The 19,220-nt window shown below is 34.4% G+C and overlaps 1 long non-coding RNA gene across 1 annotated transcript in view; it reads right to left on the reverse strand.

Annotated features, from left to right (window-relative positions):
• The window catches only part of LOC105375147 (uncharacterized), a 172,035-nt gene that overhangs the window by 91,085 nt on the left and 61,730 nt on the right, over nt 1-19,220 (reverse strand). Inside the window, exon 2 of the long non-coding RNA XR_927026.2 lies at nt 18,184-18,311. This is a non-coding gene — a long non-coding RNA (uncharacterized LOC105375147). The remainder of the gene's footprint in view (nt 1-18,183; nt 18,312-19,220) is intronic.

Genomic DNA, 19,220 nt, shown 5'->3' on the forward strand with positions numbered 1-19,220 from the left:
ATTAGCAGTAGAAAATAATAAAAGAAGTAAACAAAATATTACACTAATTGGATGTTTAAAAAAATTCTCAATTAACTGTGATGTCAAAGAGATAGTTATGTACACAAAAAAATATATTAAAACCCTTGGAAGTATACTAAACTCAGAGCATCAAAAATTACGACATTTATCCAACTGATACTAAGAGGAAAATCATTAGACTTTATTCAAATTAATAAATTTGATGAAATATTTAATTTATATGTGTATATAATTTATAATATATAAATAGTAAATAGTTTATAAACAGCTTTTTAAAATAAGATACAAAGTGCAGCTTAATTAGAAATAAGATTATATATTTTACATATTTGTACAGATTAGTATATGTGAATTATATATAAATATACATTGATTACAAAGTGACTATCATTGATTACCATTGACTACACATTATCAATAAAATATGAATTGATTAATAAATAAAATATTAAATATTAAACTTAGGGTGTTCAGTAGATTAACTCATGATAATGAGATCTGATAAACTGAATCATAAACTAATTATTTTGAAAAAATTTAACAACACAGACAAAACTTTTATAAAGATAATTAATTAAAAAGAGAAGTACATATTAAAAATCCAAAATAAATTTGAGAATAAAGTGTGCATGAAAAATTTTAGAAAGTACTATGTAAAACTTGATCAAGACAAATTTCAAAATCAGTGAAATGATCATTTTTCTGGGTAATACATAAATTTTCTAAATTACTTAACTAAAATAAATATTTAGAATATGTAGATGATCTTCAACAATTTATCAGAAATTCACCTTCTATTGTCCTGAATGATCAGTGTTCATGAGATTTTGAGAAATTATTTTTCTTAAGTAGGCATTTAATTCTCATGCTGTGTATGCTAGATAAATTGAGTATACAAACATTAAAATCTGTCAAATTATGTTATGATGTTTATGTAGCCTTCTTAAAAGTAAAACAAAAAAGTAAATAAAATTTTAAAAATAAAGCTTTTGTTGGGGAGAAAACAGGAGGACAAATACTACCGTGTATCTGTACATATGCATCTAGAAAAATTATGAAAATTTGATACTAGTAAAAGTATCTACATTTGTACGTACCTGCAGTAGAAAATGTGAATGCAGAAACTAACCCTTCTGTTTTCAATAATTTAGAAAACAATATATGACCTTACAACAGAGTCAGGAAACAAAGAACTAATTGCCTAGCTCTCATGAAAAACGTATCATTCAAGATCTCTAACTTCTGCAAAAATAAATTCTAGGTGGATTAAAATATAAGATCTTTTAAAAAACTGCAGAAGTCTCAAATAAAATATAATTGAATATTTGCCTATCACAGAATAGGTGAGGACTTCCTATCTGTCAAAGTGATGGAAAAAAATCACAGAGGACATGATAAATCATTTTCCAAATAGGCCTTTTAAATCTCTGTGCATTAAAAATACCTACTTAAAAGCAAAACATGAACAGAATCACAAGGCAAACAAAAAAGGGAGGAAATATTTACCAATATATTGTCAAGAGATAAAAATCTTTAAAATATTTTTAGAGCTTCTTGAGTTGATAAGACCCCGAATATCAGGTGGATAGCGTTTACATAGTGAATTTGTGTAAAGGACAGATAAATATATGAAAATATTAAAGAATATATAATACAAAAATTAAATATAAATATGTGAAATATATAAAGTCTAATTTTATAAATTAACTTAAAGATTCAAGTATAATCAATAATGCAAGCCCATTTTTATTTAATAAGTTACTGAAATAAAGTCTGTTGAGATACACAATGTGGTCGGACATGGTTGCTCATGCCTGTAATCTTAGCACTTTGGTTGGCTGGGGCGAGGGGACCCTTGAGTTCAGGAGTTCAAGACCAGCATAGGCAACATGGCAAAACCACACTCACCCCACCCCAGCCCCTGTCTCTACAAAATATAAAAATTAGCTAGGAATGGTGGTGAGCACCTGTAGTGCCAGCTACTTGGGAGGCTAATGTGGGAGGATCACCTGAGCCCAAGGGGTCGAGGCTGCAGTGGGGTGATAGTATCACTGCACTCCAGCCTGGGCAACACAGCAAGAGAAAGAAGAAAAGAAAAGGTGAGGAGAGGAGAGGAGAGGAGAGGAGAGGAGAGGAGAGGAGAGGGGAGGGGAGGGGAGGGGAGGGGAGGGGAGGGGAAGACAGACACCATGGAAGGGAGGGGAGTGGAGGGAGGGGAGGGGAGGGGAGGGGAGGAGAGGAGAGGAGAGGAGAGGAGAGGGAAACACAGACACCATGCTGCACTGATTCAACGTAGCTCTTACTGGCTACAATAGGGGATTTAACGTCAAGAGTATGTCTGTTGAAGATGGTCACCATGGCAGTGTGGCTGGTGACAGAAAAGATGGTCTACTAATTAAAGTATCTGGCTTCACTGCTCGGGAGATTATTCTGAGTCATCCAGGCTAAATCAGTGGTGGCTATGCAGCCATGCTGGGATTGTCACAATGCTTGCTATGCAGCCATGCTGTATTGTCACATTACTTGCTAATTTTTTAGTTGAAGGAAAGGTTGCTCTAAGGATACTAGCCCCAGATTATTGAAATCTGCTGAAGCTTCCATCATTCATATGGTTCCTGGATTCTCTATCATTCTCTGGTTCATTTTACTATTTACAATATGAGACATAAGTTGTTGTGGGTATCATCAATGCAGTGTACAAGAAAACTGCCTGAACTGGCAAGGTCACCATGTCAGTCAAGAAAGCTCATGAAAGTGAAATGGGTATTATTTGTAACACTTGCACTGCCACCCTACCCCTTCTGTCATTTGAACCAACTGGTGGAATAATAGTTCCAGAACTATTTGTCAATTACCATTTACATTTCTTAGGGACGTGCTGATTAATGATAACACATGTTAAAAGCATCAGAGGGAAAGAGAGGTTTTGACTCCCCACTAGATCTCCTGTGATACCTCCTCGCTGGGAAGTGACCGGAGTGCTTTACTATTGCTCCAGAGGTGACCTCTATTGGACAGGGATGAAAGCCCAGTCTCTCCATGAAGTTTTCTGACTCCACCCTAGTGAGGAAATGGAGAGGTGCCTAGTTACTGCTGGGTGGAGATGGAATCCTAGGCAGCCTGTGTGGTCTCCACTGGCACCACGGGATGGGGTCTTATTATTACCTAGAGGGGATGGAAGTCCCTATTCTCTACCCAGCCTTCTGTGACACCACACTGGCCAATGGGTTGTGGTGCCTCATTATAGACTGGCGTGAATGGAAGTCTAGGTACTTCAATCTAGAATATAGTGGTTATTGTCTAAAAGCCTTCATTTTGTGAGGCTGCCCCGTTCTTAGTCCTTTAGCTAGAGAGAGTAGGCTTTTGTTGTTGTTGTTCTTTGTCTACTCTTATGTGTGTTTCCAGGTTGCCAGTTGCCAGAAACTTCAGCTCCAGGTTAGGAGATATGAGGCAAAAAGAAAATCCAGGAGCTCACCAGCATATCATTCATCAGGGTCATGGCCCCTAGACAGCTTGCCTCTTCTTTCCTCCCTTTAAAGAATTCTTCATTTTGTTTTATACATAATATCCAAGGATTTTAGATGGACTTAACAGGACACATAGGGAAATATATATCTAATACATCCTCATGGAAGCAGAAATTGTACATTAAAACCTTTTTTGCCATAATGAATGTAGAAATTCCATAATAAAGTAATTGTTAACTAAGTGGCAAAGTGATTATAGACATAGGGTGCATTATATCAAATTATCAAATTTTATTTTAAAAGCTTTTAATAACATGAAAATATATCCTTTACCTGTGAAATGAAAAAGACACAATTGTATATGATATTTACTATATCTTTGTGTGTGCATATATTAACTATATTTTGACTATGCAGATAAAATATATGGACCAGAATCACTGGTAATTAAGAAGATGCATATTAAAGCAGTGAGATACATTTCACACACATTCGATTGAAAAAAGTTTAAATGATTGATAATTCCAAATGTTGTCCAGATTGGGAGGAAACAGGATCTGGTACATTGCTACCAGTTTAGGTGAGTTTAGGTGAGTGCAACTGCTTTTGGAGAGCAATTTGTCTATAACTAGCCAAATTAGAGTTGCATTATTTTCTAAAACCAGAAACTCTACATATAAACATGTGCCACAGAAGGAGGGAGATAAACAAAGATGTTCGTTGTAACACTTCACACTTTTAAAACTTTGAAAGTAATGAAAATAAGTTAATTATTCAAATATAGGGGAAAGGTGTATAATCAATATGGTATATATATAATATGATAGTTAAAATGAATAAACTAGTTTTATGTGTAACAACATGGAGCTACTGCAAAAACATGAGAGAAAATAATCAATTATAAAATATATAATATTATTTATGAAATTAAATGACATATAAAACTATATAATTATATGTGTATAAAATATAACTATATCTGCATAAAAATGATATATTAATTTTGTAATGTTGGTTATGTCTGAAAATGGAATGAGGGGCAAAGCACGAGGGAGTAGGAGCTTAGCAATGGCTGTAACATGTTTTTCCCTTAAAAGTAAAGATAGCTAAGGAAAAGATGGCAACAGATTAGAAACTGTGGTTCACATGATTTTTACCGTGTAGTCCATTAAAGAACATTTTAAACAAACTTATTATTTGTAATAAAACAATGTGACATCATCATCTTCTTCATTATAAACGGATCTATTTTGTTTAAGAAGTTGTTAGATTCTGCTTAATAAACACTGGGTTTCATCCTCAAAGATGAGAGTGGAATAGCTTTCTAAATCATTGATTTTAAATTAGCGACAAAGTAGAAGCTATTTTTAAAGTATTTTAGCCAATCCACCTATCTTGAGTACTACTAGTTTCATCAATGAAAGTTCATTTTTAACTTTCAATATTCTATGGATTAAGAGAATTAAAACACTTGCTCTGGTACTTCTGGAATGTAGTCTTTTGACTAAATGCTTATTAACCTACCCTGAATATACATTACTAATTTAGCAATTTCCATCCCTTAGTATAAACCAAATAACTAATACACTCATTCATTTTTCAATGCTTATTCCGATGTATTTTAAAATATATGTGACACTGACTGTATATTTAGTATTTACATGAAGTGTTGATATTAATTTTATAATAAAAGGAACATTTAAGAAAGAAAAATAATTAGTGAATTTCAAAAACGCATGCTATATTGAAGAAGAGAGTGCTGAAAATAAGTCAATGTACTAAAGTTATATGAAACAAGGGTAAGAAGCATGTATTTACCCTATATCTAGAAAACTTGCATGTAAGAATATAAAACCAAATATAGAACAGTAATAGCTCATGCCCTCCAAGAATGTAAGCATACACATAATTTTTAACTTGAGTGCCTCTGCAACAAAAAGTGAATTATATCTAATTTTCTAAATATCAAATTATATGAAGTTTCAAGGACCAGATTAAAGGACAATAGTAAAGGAACTAACAGTTCTACCTTGTGCTTTAAGATACAACAGTGTAAATCATTGCTTTTGGTAGGGAGTTAAGGGAAAGGTATTTTTTGTTAGTTGTTTTGTTTCCTACCTGGTACAGATCAGAGAGTAAGGGTGCAAATTTGGAGGAGTACACAACTCTGCCATATAATAGTTGTATGGCATTGGATAATTTATTTCTCTGTCTTAGTTTTGTTTTTTTAATCTGTAAATGTAGCTACTAAAAGTGCTTATTGTGAGGATTAAATGAGCTATTTAATGGAAAAATCTTAGAACATCATCTTCCATACAGTAAATGCTTAATAAATGTTTTCTATAAATATCATTGCTATTAGTGTTATCTGTAAAATAATGGCAAAATAATGGGACTAATTACTATTAATTATTGTAGGGAGTCATGCCTGTCCACAGTGATCATCATGAAAGTTTCTCACTGATAGCCTACTCTTCTGCCATTATAGGTTCCACTGTAGTTGGATGAGCAAAAGTAACTAGTCCCAGGCAATGCAGTCACTGGAAAAGTTGAGTACATTTCTAGTATAGTACACTCCAGAGTTCCCTTTGATTGTTGTAGTGACTGGAAGCGTCAGTCTAGAGTTGATATTTGTATTAGTATTCTAGGGTTTCCACAACAAAATATCACAGACTGCATGGCTTACACAACAGAAACATTTGTCTCTGAGTTCTGGAAGCTGGAAGTCCCAGGTCAAGGTCCTGTGGGATTCAGGTTTTGGTACGGGCTCTCTTTCTGACTTGCAGGTAGTTGCCTTCTCAATGTCCTCATCTGGCTTTCCTCTGAGTGTATTTATAAAGCAATGAATCCTTTTAGATTGGGGTCTCATGCTTATGACAACAATTAAAATTAGTAACACCCTAAATAATCTATCTCTAAATGGAGGCATACCTCAGAGATACTGTGGGTTTGGTTCCAGGCCACCACAATGAAGTGAATATCAGAATAAACAGAGTCAACCAGTTTTTTTGTTTGTTTTCCAGTGCATACAAAAATTATATTTTCACTTTACCATGGTTTTAATGTGTGTAATAGCATTACAACTAAAACAGCAATGTACATATCTTCACTGAAAACACTTTATTGCTAAAACAAACAAACCAACCCTAACAATCACCTGAGCCTTCAGTTTTGTAAGATTTTGCTAGTAGAGGGTCTTGCCTCCATGTTGATGGCTGCTGACTGATCAGGAAGGTGGTTGCCTAAGGTTGAGGTGGCTGTGGCAATTTCTTAAAATTAGACAATAATGATGTTTGCTGCATCTATTGACTCTTCATGAAAGAGTTCTCTGTAGCATGTGATGCTATTTGATAGCATTATATCCACAGTAAAACTTCTTTCAAAATTGGAATCAATCTTCTCAAACCCTGCTGCTTGCTGCTTTACTAACCAAGTTTATGTAGCAGTCTAAATGCTTTGTTGTCATTTCAACAATATTCACAACATGTTTTCCAAGAGTAGGTTCCATCTCAATAAGTCACTTTTTTTGGTCATCTAGATGAAGCAATTTCTCATCCATTCAAGTTTTATCATGTGATTGCAGCAATCCTGTAACATCTTCAGGGTCCATTTCAAATTCTAATTCTCTTGCTATTTCTATCACATCCTCACAGAATTCCTTCACTGCAGTCTTGAATGCTTCAAAGTTATCCATGATGGTTGGGATTAAAAACTCCTGTTAAATTCCTTCTTAAAAATTCCTGTTACTGTCATTATTTTGACATCCTCCCATGAATCACGAATGTTCTTAATCACATATAGAATGGTGAATTCTTCCCGGAAGATTTTTCGCTAACTTTGCCCACATCCATCAAATGAATCGCTGTGTATGGCAGCTATAGTCTTTGAAATGTATTGCATAAATAATGAGACTTGAAAGTCAAAATGACTGCTTGATCCATGGGCTGCAGATTGGATGTTGTGTTGCAGGGATATAGCAACATTAATGTCCTTGTACATGTCCATCAGAGCTCTTGAGTGACCAGGGGCGTTTTCAATGAGCAGTAATATTTTGAAAGAAACATTTTTTGCCTGAGCAGGAGGTCTCAAAATTTGGCTTAAAATATCCACTAAATTATGCTGTAAACCGATGTGCTGTCATCAGGCTTGTCTCATTTATATAGCACAGGCAGAGTAGATTTAGCATACCTCTTAATGGTCCCAGGGCTTTAGAAATGGTAAATAAGCCTTGGTTTCAGCTTCAAGTCAGCAGCTGCCTTAGTCCCTAGCAAGAGAGTCCTCCTGTCCTTTGAAGCTTTGAAGCCAGGGATTGATTTCTCTTTAGCTATGAAAGTCCTAGGTGGCACTTTCATAGCACTTCCAATATAAGGCTGTTTTGTCTACAGTAAAAATCTGTCATTGAGTGTAGCTACTTTCATCAATTATCTTAGCTAGATATTATGGATAACTTGCTGCAGCTTCTCCATTGCTGCGGCTTCTCCATCAGTACTGTATACTTCACCTTGCACTTTTATGTTGTAGAGATAGTTTATTTCCTTAAACTTTGTGAACCAACCTCAACTAGCTTTAAACTTTTCTTCTGCAGCTTTCACACCTCTCTCAGCTTTCATAGACTTAAAGAGAGGCTTTGTTCTAGATTATGCTTTTGCTTAAGGGAATGTTGTGGTTTTGATCTTCTATCCAAAACACTAAAACTTTTTCATATCAGCAATAAGGCTGTTTCACATTCCTATTATTCATGTCTTCACTGGAGTAGCACTTTGAATTTCCTTCAAGAGCTTTCCATTGCATTCATAACATAGCTAACTAGCCTAAGAGGCCTACCTTTCAGCCTATCTCTGCTTTCAACATGCCTCCCTTAAAACACTTAATCACTTTTAGCTTTTGATTGAAAGTGAGAGACTACAACTCTTTCTTCCGCTTGAACACTGAGAAGCCATTGTAGGGTTATTAATTGACACAACTGCAATACTGTTGTATCTCAAGGAATAGGGAGGCCCAAGCAGAAAGAGAAAGACAGGAAACCGCCAGTCAGTGGAGCAGTCAGAGCACATACAACATTTATTGATGAAGCTTGCCATCTTATGTGGTAACCCAAAACAAGTACAATAGTAACATCAAAGATTACTGATCACAGGCAACTATTACAGATATAATAATAATATAAAAATGTTAAATATTATGAGAGTTACCAAAACATGACACAAAGACACGAAGTGAGCACATGCTGTTAAAAAAAAAAAAAACTACCTGTAGACTTGTTCAACCCAGGGTTGTCACAAACCCTTAATTCGTGAAAAAAAGCAGTTTCTGCAAAGTTTAGTAAGGCAAAGCACAATAAAATGATGTATGCTAGTATCTGATAAGAACTATATAGCAATTCTTATCCTTTTCCCTTTTCCCATAATATTTATTTTCTTCTCTACCTTTAGAGTTTTCTCTTTGTTGTGTTCAGCAAGTTGAGCATGACATATTAGGGTGTGTATACGTGTTTGCCCATGTGCATGCTCATGTGTGTTTTAGTTTTTCTTCTGCTTAGTGATCTTTGAGTTTCATTTTTCCATTGTTTGTTATTTGTCATTGCTTTGGGGAAATTCTCAACCCTTATTTTCTTTAAAATTTATTCTGACATTTTCTCCCTCTCTTCTTCTGGGGTTCCAAGTAGATATACAATAGACTGCTTGATGTTATCTCAAAACTCTTGAATGCCTAGTATTGTTTTTATCTCACTTTTCTGTCCCTTTGTACTTCATCTTGTAAAATTTCTATTAATCTGTTTGAGTTCACTGATTCTTAGTTGTGTTGAGTCCACTGATGAACCCATGATAACATTCTTTATCTATGTTACCATGCTTTTTATTTCCTGTCATTTCCATATGATTCTTTCTCATAGTTTCCATCGCTCTCCTGAAATTACCCATCTGATCTTGCATGTTGCCCACCTTTCCAGTGGACCCCTCAGCATATTGATCATAATTATTTTAATTGCCATGAGTCTAAAATCTATGTCATATTTGTGTCTGATCCACTCTTAATTGCTTTGTATTTGGAAGTGAGTTTTTTTCTTGTCATTTCATATGTCTTGCGATTTTTTTTTTTATAAAAGATGACCTGTTTAAGATAGTAGAGACCGAAGTAAATAATTTGTGCAAGGAATTGTGCACACTTTTCCTTCTATTGGTTTTTGGTGTGGAGTTGTGTTCATTTTATCAGGTTTTAAGCTGGTTTTGAGGTTGATTAACATTACCATTATCCCCAGTGTGCTATGGACTCTAAATTTTTTTTTTTTTTTGAGACAGAGTATCGCCCTATCACCTGGGCTGGAGTATAGTGGCGCGATCTTGACTCACTACAACCTCCATCTCCCGGGTTCAAGTGATTCTTCTGCCTCAGCCTCCCAAGTAGCTAGGATTACAGGCACCCACCACCACATCCAGCTAATTTTTTGTATTTTTAGTAGAGACGAGGTTTCACTATGTTGGCCAGGCTGTTCTCAAACTGCTGACCTCGTGATTCTCCCACCTCAGCCTCCCAAAGTGCTGGGATTATAGGCGTGAGCCACCGCGCCCAGCAAGACTCTAAATTTTACTGACATTAGCATGTGTGTAGGGTTGTGTACGGTAGGAGGTGGTGCGCGGAGGGTCTTTCTCAATATCAGTTCCAGGCTTAGATTTAGAACATCTTTTACCTTGTTTCTCAGAGACAGCTTGCTTCTTAAAGCTCCCTCATCAGTATTACAGTCTTATTTATACTTGATGCTTGTTAGCAAGCTGATTGGGGTAGTGTTCTGTTCTCTGAAATTCTGATTAAATCTTAGGCAGATAATTTGTCCCTCAGTCTCAGGGATATGACCTTCACAAATATTCTTTCCCCTCTTGTCACTGTAGCTCTGAGCCCAGCTGGCATTCCTGCCCCTCATTCAGGATAGAGGCTTTTTGTTGCTGTTGTTTCTTTTTCTTTTGCCAGTGCTGTATGGGTGGCAATTTGGTGGCCCTTTCACCTACAGTCTGAAATTTCTATTCCAAAGAGAGGAGAGGAAAGCAGTGTCTGAGCAGTCTCACGACCCCTCTGCAGCAGCTGCTCCCCTCCCTCAGGTCTGCACCATGAGGGATGCTTTCTTAGGACCTTTCTGTCTTACATATAAGCTTCTGAAGAGTTTCATAGAGGACAGTCATACAACAGGGCACTAAAAACTTTTATATCTGCAATCCCTAGGCGCTTCATACTCTCCATACTTGACCTCGATCAATTTGTCAATTACTGTAGCTGAATTCTTCTTATTGGTGTTTGCCACACATAACCAAGTGTGTGCATCCCGCCCCTCTCTGTAGGTGCCTGTTTGTCTCCAGATTTTTGTCTAGTTGGTTGCCTTGAGACTTCACCTTTCTGATGGATTCAGAAAAATTGCAAACTTGAAGATTTCTGCCTTTTGTCTTTTAAGTTTGAGATCGACATTTTCCATCTTTCTTCATCCTTCAGTGGAAACTGGAAGTGCCAATGAGATTCTAATTGCCAAGTTCTTGGTAACTGTCAACTAAATCAGCTACCTTGCCTTTGCTATTTCTGGGACATCTTATTTTTTAAATATTTCCTATTAGTTTTATTTCTTGACATTTTCCTCCCTCTGGCCATCTCCTTTGTCTTGATGTCCCTAGAATTCTGTCATAAACTCCCTTTTCCTTTCTATAAACTCAACAACAATGCCATCTATGCAAATGTATTCAGCTATCATCTTTAATGACATTTAAATCTCTAACTATATCTGAGGTCATCCTCAAACCTCCTGAACTTCTCTCTTCTTGGATATCAAAGGAACTCTAAATATAACTAGAAGTAAGCTTATTTTCTGTTCTTGTTGTTCTTCCCCCTGCACATCCTATCTTGGTGAATAGCAGCAAAACTCATCTATTCTAAATGCAAAACCTATATTTCACCTAAGATTCTTTCCTGTCTTTAACTCCACATGTCTAAACAGGCCCCAAGTCTTCAAACTTCTACTTCATTAACTTCCTTAATCATAAGTCCAACATAAGAAACTAATTGCTACTTTGTTAAAGCAGAGCATTATCATCTTTTACTTAACCAACTGTATAGGGCCCCAATTGGCCTTTCTAATGTTAATTCTGCCACCCTTCCGACATCCTATACAACTTTCTAAAATATTCCTACAATGAAAACCATAAAACACTGATGAAAAAAATTAAAGAGGGCACCAAAAAATGGAAAGATATTCCATGTTTATGGTTTGGACTTATCTATATTGTTCAATTGTTCCCCAAACAATAATATACATTGTGAATGTATATTCATAATGCAAACCCTATCAAAATACCAGTGACATCCTTCACAGAAATAGAAACGATATCCTGAAATTTAAATGCAATCACGAAAGACCCAGAAACCAAAGCAATCTTGAGCAAACAGAACAAAACTGGAGACATCACATTATCTGATTCAAATTATACTACAAAGCTATAGTCTCAAAAACAGCATAGTACTGCCATAAAAACAGACACATAGAGCAATGGAACAGAATAGAGAACTCAGAAATAAATCTGCACATTTATAGTCAACTCACTTTTGACAAAGGTGCCAAGAATATACATTAAGAAAAGTTCATTTTCTTCAATAAATGGTACTGGGAAGATTGGATATCCATATTCAGAAAAATACAATAGACTCATCTGTCCTGCCATACATAAAAATCAAATAAAAATGGATTAAAGATTTAAGTTTAATACCTAAAACTATGAAACTACTAGAATAAAACATTTGGAAAAAACTTCAGAACATTGTTCTAGACAAAGATTTCTTGAGTAAGATCTCAAAATCACAGGCAATCAAAGAAAAAATGGACAAATGGGATCACATCAAGCAAAAAGCCTTTTGCACAGCAAAGAAAACAATCAACATAGTGAAGAGATAAACCACAGCAAGGGAGAAAATATCTGTAAACTACACATCTGACAAGGAATTAATAACCAGAATATATAAGAAGCTCAAATAACTCAATACAAAAAACAAAACAAATTTCAAATTTCCCAATTAGAAATAAGAAAAATATTGGAATAGATATTTCTCAAAAGAAAACATATAAATGGCCAACATTTATATTAAAAATGCTCAAAATCAATCTTTAGAGGACATAAAAATCAAAACTATATGAGACGTGATTTCACCCCAGTTAAAGTGGCTTTTATCAAAAAGACAGGCAACAGATGCTGGCAAGGAAGTAGGGAAAGGGAAATATTTATACACTGCTGGTGGGAATGTAAACCAGTGCAGCCACTATGAAGAACAGTATGGAAGTTCCTCAGAAAACTAAAAATAGGTCAACCATATGTGATCCAGCAATTCTGCTGGTATATTTCCAAAAGAAAGGAAATCAGGATATAGAAGAGATAGTTGTACTCTTATGTTACTGCAGCACTGTTCACAATAGCCAAGATACACAATGAATCTAAGTGTCCATTAATAGGAGAATGGATTTAAAAATGTGTACATATACAAAGTGGACTATTATTCAGCTATAAAGGATGAAATCCTTTCATTTGCAGCAATATAGATGGAAGTAGAAGACATTATGTAAAGTGAAATAAGACACGGATAGAAAGACAAATATTGCCTGTTCTCACTCATATGTGGGTGCTAAAAACAAATAAACTCATGGAGGTAGAGAGTAAATGATGATTACCAGATATTGGGAAGGGTAGTGGGGAGGGGTAAATAAAGAAGAGATTCTTAACAGATACAGAAATAGAGTTAGACAGAAGGGATAAAATCTAGTGTTCAGTAGCACCATAGGACAATTATACTTAATAATTTATTGTATATTCTAAAAGAACTAAAAGAGTGGAGTTGGAATGTTCTTAAGATAAAGAAGTGATAAGCGTTTGAGGTGATGGATATCCTAATTAATCTGTTTTGATCATTACACAGTATGATTTTTATCAAGATAGCACATACATTCCATAAATACATACAATTATTATGTTCCCAGAATAATTAACAGTTTAGAAAATAAATTGGATTTTTTTCTTTTCAAACTTCAGTAGTTCCGTTCCATCTGTAGATAATATATAAGGGTATTAATAGCCTGGTCACTTTTTAACCCCTAACTATTTTTTTTTTACTCCTCCTCTCACTCTAAACTTTAGGAATGCCAAAACATAGGTTATTTTATGCTTTTTAAAATTTTGCTCAAATTATTCTATCCTGTTCCTCTGGCAGGCATCTAAAATATCTGAACTTAGCTCACATTCTCTATGAGGCCATTTCAGAGATTTTCTTTCTTTTATAATCCATGTGTGATTTCTATCATAGCATCATTAAGACTGCTATTATAGCATCATTAATACTGAATTTCCTAATAAATATGAAATTTAATAATGCTAGTTACAGCTCAACATAGAGAAGATAGTCAGTTACTTCAATTTGTTGCAGTTTACATATAACTATAAAGAACATTGAAAAATCTATTAATATTCAGCCATTGTGGAAAGCAATTTAGTGATTTCTCAAATAAGTTAAAATAGCACTTCCATTCAACCCAGCAATCCCATTATTGCACATATACCCAAAGGAATATAAATTGTTCTACCATGAAGAAACACGTACGTATATGTTCATTGCATCACTATTCACAATAACAAAGACATGGAATCAACCTAAATGCCTGTCAATGGTAGACTAGATAAAGACAATGTGGTACATACACACCATAGAATACTATGCAGCCATTAAAAACAAAACCATGTCCTTTGCAGCAACATGGATGGAGCTGGAGGCCATTATGCTAAACAAACTAACACAGAAACAGAAACCAAATGGCACATGTTCTCATTTATATGTGGGAGCTAACCATTGAGTCCACATAGACAAAAAGAAGGGAACAACAGACACTGGAGCCTGCTTGAGGGTGGAGTGTGAGGACTGAAACTCTACCTAATAGGTACTATGCTTATTATCTGGGTGATGAAATAATCTGTACATAAAACCCCCATGAAACACAATTTACATATATAATAAACCTGCACATGTACCTTTGAACCTAAAATAAATGTTATTTTTAAAATCTATTAATATAAATAATACTATCAATAGCAGAAAGCAACAACTTTATCCAGATTTCCCATGTCATGTACATTACCCATTTTCTTTCCTCTTTACACTATGTAGTGTATCATTTGACCCTTTTCAAAACTAACAACAAAATCTGTCAAAAAGAATACTGTTCACTTGAAGATATGCCAAGCTGTGTTTTTCTCAACAAAATGCCATAAGATTATTTTGTATAGTCTTCATTTTGACTTTCAGTTTTTCCAAGTCTTTTTATCTACTTTTATAAACATTTGCACACATTTATACAAACATTGTAAGCATTTATAGAAAATTACAAAGGTCAATAAACAACTCTAGATCGATCAATTTTGCTATTTAGTTAATCAATTTGTTGAGCAATATTTAGTAAAAGACCTTTTATAAAGGTCTATGAATCTGCAGTGCAGTTTGGGGAGTAAGAACTCACGCACCATTTCAGGAAGCTGATTATTTGGGACATAAAGGGACTGAGAAGAAAGAGTAGTTTTGTATGCTTTTGTAGATTACCCAGATGACCTATAAAGAGATTTTTGGGAAGCTCTGTGAAATCCTTTAGCCAAGTTTACTCTGGCAGCAGCAACCCTTGCTGCCTTCGCTCTGAGTGCTTTGGCTCCAACTTTCGGGAAGTAGGGAACTATTTTTATTTCCCATTGGCTTCCACACTGGAATTCCCTGACCAAGAGACTTAAAAGTCCATCAAACTGGCTTTTTCTCCAATGTAAAAAAATGTTGCACCAAAATATTATAACTTCCGATCTCTAAGACTGCTTATAATGAACATTCTCTAGATGTAGAAGCATTAGAAGTTGTAGCTCTATTATTTTTATTGTGGTTTTTAAATAACACAGTCATTCAGATTTGTTATTAATCATTTCAAATAGTCATTCCTTAAAATATTATCATATGCTTATTAACCAAGACAATAAAAATGGAAACAATATATTAGTCAGTAACTATTGCTGTACTAATAACACACTACATAGCACTAAACAATCAAACACAATATTTTCTTAAAAATGAGACTAGTATTCAGCATACTGTTCTTTTCCTGTTGTGTCTAATTTTGTTTTGCAAATTCTAAAATTTGTTAGTGAATATTTCTTGTTCATATGGAACAATCTTTGAATATTATATCATTGCTGCACCTCACTAATGATTTAGTGGACTTATAAATCATTAGAAACACTGATCTGGTTGATGATGCATTTGAGTAATATACATCATGAGGAAAAGGTGCTTCAGTGATCTATTACTCTAAAGATGGTGCTGTGTAGAATCAAATCCAGGAACACTTCTAGTTACTGCAGAGAATCCCTGCTCTGGAGAGGGCTTCACTTAAAAAAATTCACTATCTTTTGGCTAAGTTTTAACCCATTGTTAAATATTTTGTCATTTCACTCTATTTGTTTCCAAAAGCAGACATTCAGACAAATATATCATAGTATAGAGTGAAAATTATTTTCTTTCTTCATCAAGAAATGCATTGACAAAAACATTTTGGATTTTCATTGAATATTAAGTTTCTATATCTGTTAGTGATACTATATGAGATCATACAATACAGAAATGTTTTTATCCTCAATATTAATCATCATTTTGCATACTCTAAAATAGCAATACTAGAATTATGTGACTCTGGAGATACATTTACAATCACTATTAACCAAGAGCCAGATGACTACTGTGTGAGCTGTAGTCTTTAAAATAGAGTAACTTAAAAAGAAGTTCTCAGAGATCATTCAATTGAATTTTGAGCCCTACATGTTTAAGACATAGTTTATTAATCTTCTAATTTTTCATTGTTTTCAAATATTATTCTACTCTTAATTTTCTACATGTGAGAAATAGAGTGTATTTTTTTTACAATAACTCATTAAGTAATAGACTCAAACTCTAAAGTTGAATAGACAGCGCTTTATTTTCTATTTTTTAATAAAAATAATCAACCTGACAAACTAAATGAACACTTTATACACTTTTAATATTAGTATAAAATGATACCATCAAAACCTTATACAGATGCCTTACTCTATGTTGTGAAAAGAAAGTTCTGAGTTTTGCAGATTCTTTCTCTGATTCGGATGCCTATTTAATTAATTTGATTAATCACTGCTCTAAAATAACTCAATGCCTTGGATTTTAGAAAAATTGACCCAATAGTCCCAAAGAAGGGATAAATCTCTTTTATTTCCCTCCAATATACTCCACTCCCACCCTTCCTAATCCAGGACCCATCTAATTTTTGCCCAAAGCTGGTAGGCAGAAAACATATTCATTATTTTTAGGATAAATCCTGGTCTCTACTCAAAAAGAAATAACTGACTCCTTGATCCACAGTGGACAGTTACTATAGCCAGAAGGTATAGTTTTCAAGAGTGCGAGTAATAGAGTGTTAAATCACACGTGTACATTTACAGTCTCAGACACATGCTATTTAGCCCTAGTAATATCTTCTGTGTTGGGGGAAGAGAACATCATACTGACCCACCTCCCATTGCAGTAGTCCAGTACCTCTCACAGTCTTCTGTCCGTATGTAGCACATCTTGTAAGAATAAGCAATAGTTCTTTGGCATAGGACAGCTCAAATTCAGATTAACAAAAATAACATAATTTGTTTTATGTAATCTAAAGAGTCTTAAGTACTTCATAAATTTGCGTCTATTTCTATCATGAAGCACAACACTTAACATATTTATAAATTGCCCATTTGGTTTACCTTCAAACCCCTCTAACTTTTCCAAGGACAATACAGGGTACTTACTTTAAATCTGTTTCATTAAACAACCTGATAAAGTGATTTTCCCAGTATAAAGAAGCCCTTAGCTCCAAAAGGTAAATTCCAAACATTTTTTGGATGGTATAAAATGCTTATGATTTTGAAATTGGCAGTTTTTCCTGCTAGGCCTTACGGGATGTCTCATTATACAAGCTTCAGGAAAGAAATTTAAACTTATTTGAAAAAAAAAAAAAACACTAAGAATGCTTTTTAACAAAGCACAATAATTCCATTCTAGTGAAATATTAAACAAATACTTCAAATTATAGGAAAATCTCCCCTCAAATATATTCACTGATATATTACTGAAAATAATGAAATAATATAAACAAGCTTAGTATCCAACAATAGGGGAATAAAGGCATACCCCAAGGAAGATCGGAAGATCTTTCCAGCTAGTGTTTTCTAAAAAGAATGTCTTCTGGCTTTCGATATTGAAACTTCATATAATACATTTTTCTTTTATTATAATGTTTTTCAGTCATTATTTATAGAGGTAAATTTTATATTTATCTCTGTAAAACACGATACACCATTTTTAAGCAAAATTTGGGGTAAATCTTACTACATTTTAAGTACATCTGTACCACGGTCACACATTTTGTAAACCATACTGAATATCAGCAAAAAGCTGTTGTATTGTGGATGTGGCTGGCCATAGGACTGGCATCTCAGGGTCGCATCCGGTGTGACACTGAGCTTTCCTTAAAAAAAAATTCGATATTGTTTTAGCACAAGATAAAAAGCTTATAACTGCACTTAACGAGAATTAAGTCAAAGTCCCATTTTGCAACGTTTTTATCTTAAGTGCCCATTACCTCCATGAAGATTTAGCAAAGCCTTCCTCTTCAATAGTTTCCACAGACATCTCTGTCATCACTTCCTCTGAGACTCATGATTTGTCTGAAGTAAGACTCTGATCATCATCTCAACTTCACCATTACATCTGTAATCAGTGACAATGAAGTGTCAACCATCCTTACCGTCTTTCTTCTGAATTTTCTTTAATTTTTAAGGCTTCACTTCATTAGTGAGCAAACAGTTTATTTCCAGATATTACCTGGTTTTTACTGTGAAATGTGCATTTCCATTATAAATTTTGTCATTGCTTAGTGTTCTTTGCTGGGCTGTATTATAAGTGTTTATCAAATGACATGCAAACTCTACAAGAATAGCATTTAAATTGTTTATCAGCAACTTTATCAACTGTCCAGTGTATGAGATGTTTTAAAAATACTTCTAACATAAGAGTTTGTTTTTTGCCCATCATCAAGTTCAACATGGATTTGAAGGGAGCTCTGCTGTCATTTAACCATTGAGACGCCCAGGTTCACAGAGATATGTTTATGAACAGAATTGTATCCTGCCCAGAATTCATATGTTGCAGCCGTAACCCACAGTACAAACTGTATAGGCTATATTTTGCTTTATTTTATGTTAATTTATTGTATTTGGCAGATATTTCTTTTTTAAAACAAAATTGAAGATTTCTGACAACCCTGATCAAGAAAGTCTATTGGCATCATTCTTAAAACCACATGTGCTTACTTTGTGTCTCTGTGTCCCTGAGCCACAAAAATATTGAAATAAGGCCAATTAATAAAACTACCATGACCTCTAAGTGTTCATATGAAAGGAAGAGTCACACATCCCTCACTTTCAATCAAAAGCTAAAAATGATTAAACTTATTGAGGAAGGAAAGATGAGACTGACTGAAAGCTAGGCCTCTTGTGTCAAACAGCCAAATTTTCAATGTAAAGGGAAATTTCTTTGCAGTATTTGACTCCAGGTTATAAAGCTAAAATATAAAATGTACTACACATCAAGTCTGTACTGTAATTAGCAAATGTGCTT

The sequence above is a fragment of the Homo sapiens genome, chromosome 7 (genome assembly GCF_000001405.40).
Source record: "Homo sapiens chromosome 7, GRCh38.p14 Primary Assembly".
Classification (NCBI taxonomy): domain Eukaryota; kingdom Metazoa; phylum Chordata; class Mammalia; order Primates; family Hominidae; genus Homo; species Homo sapiens.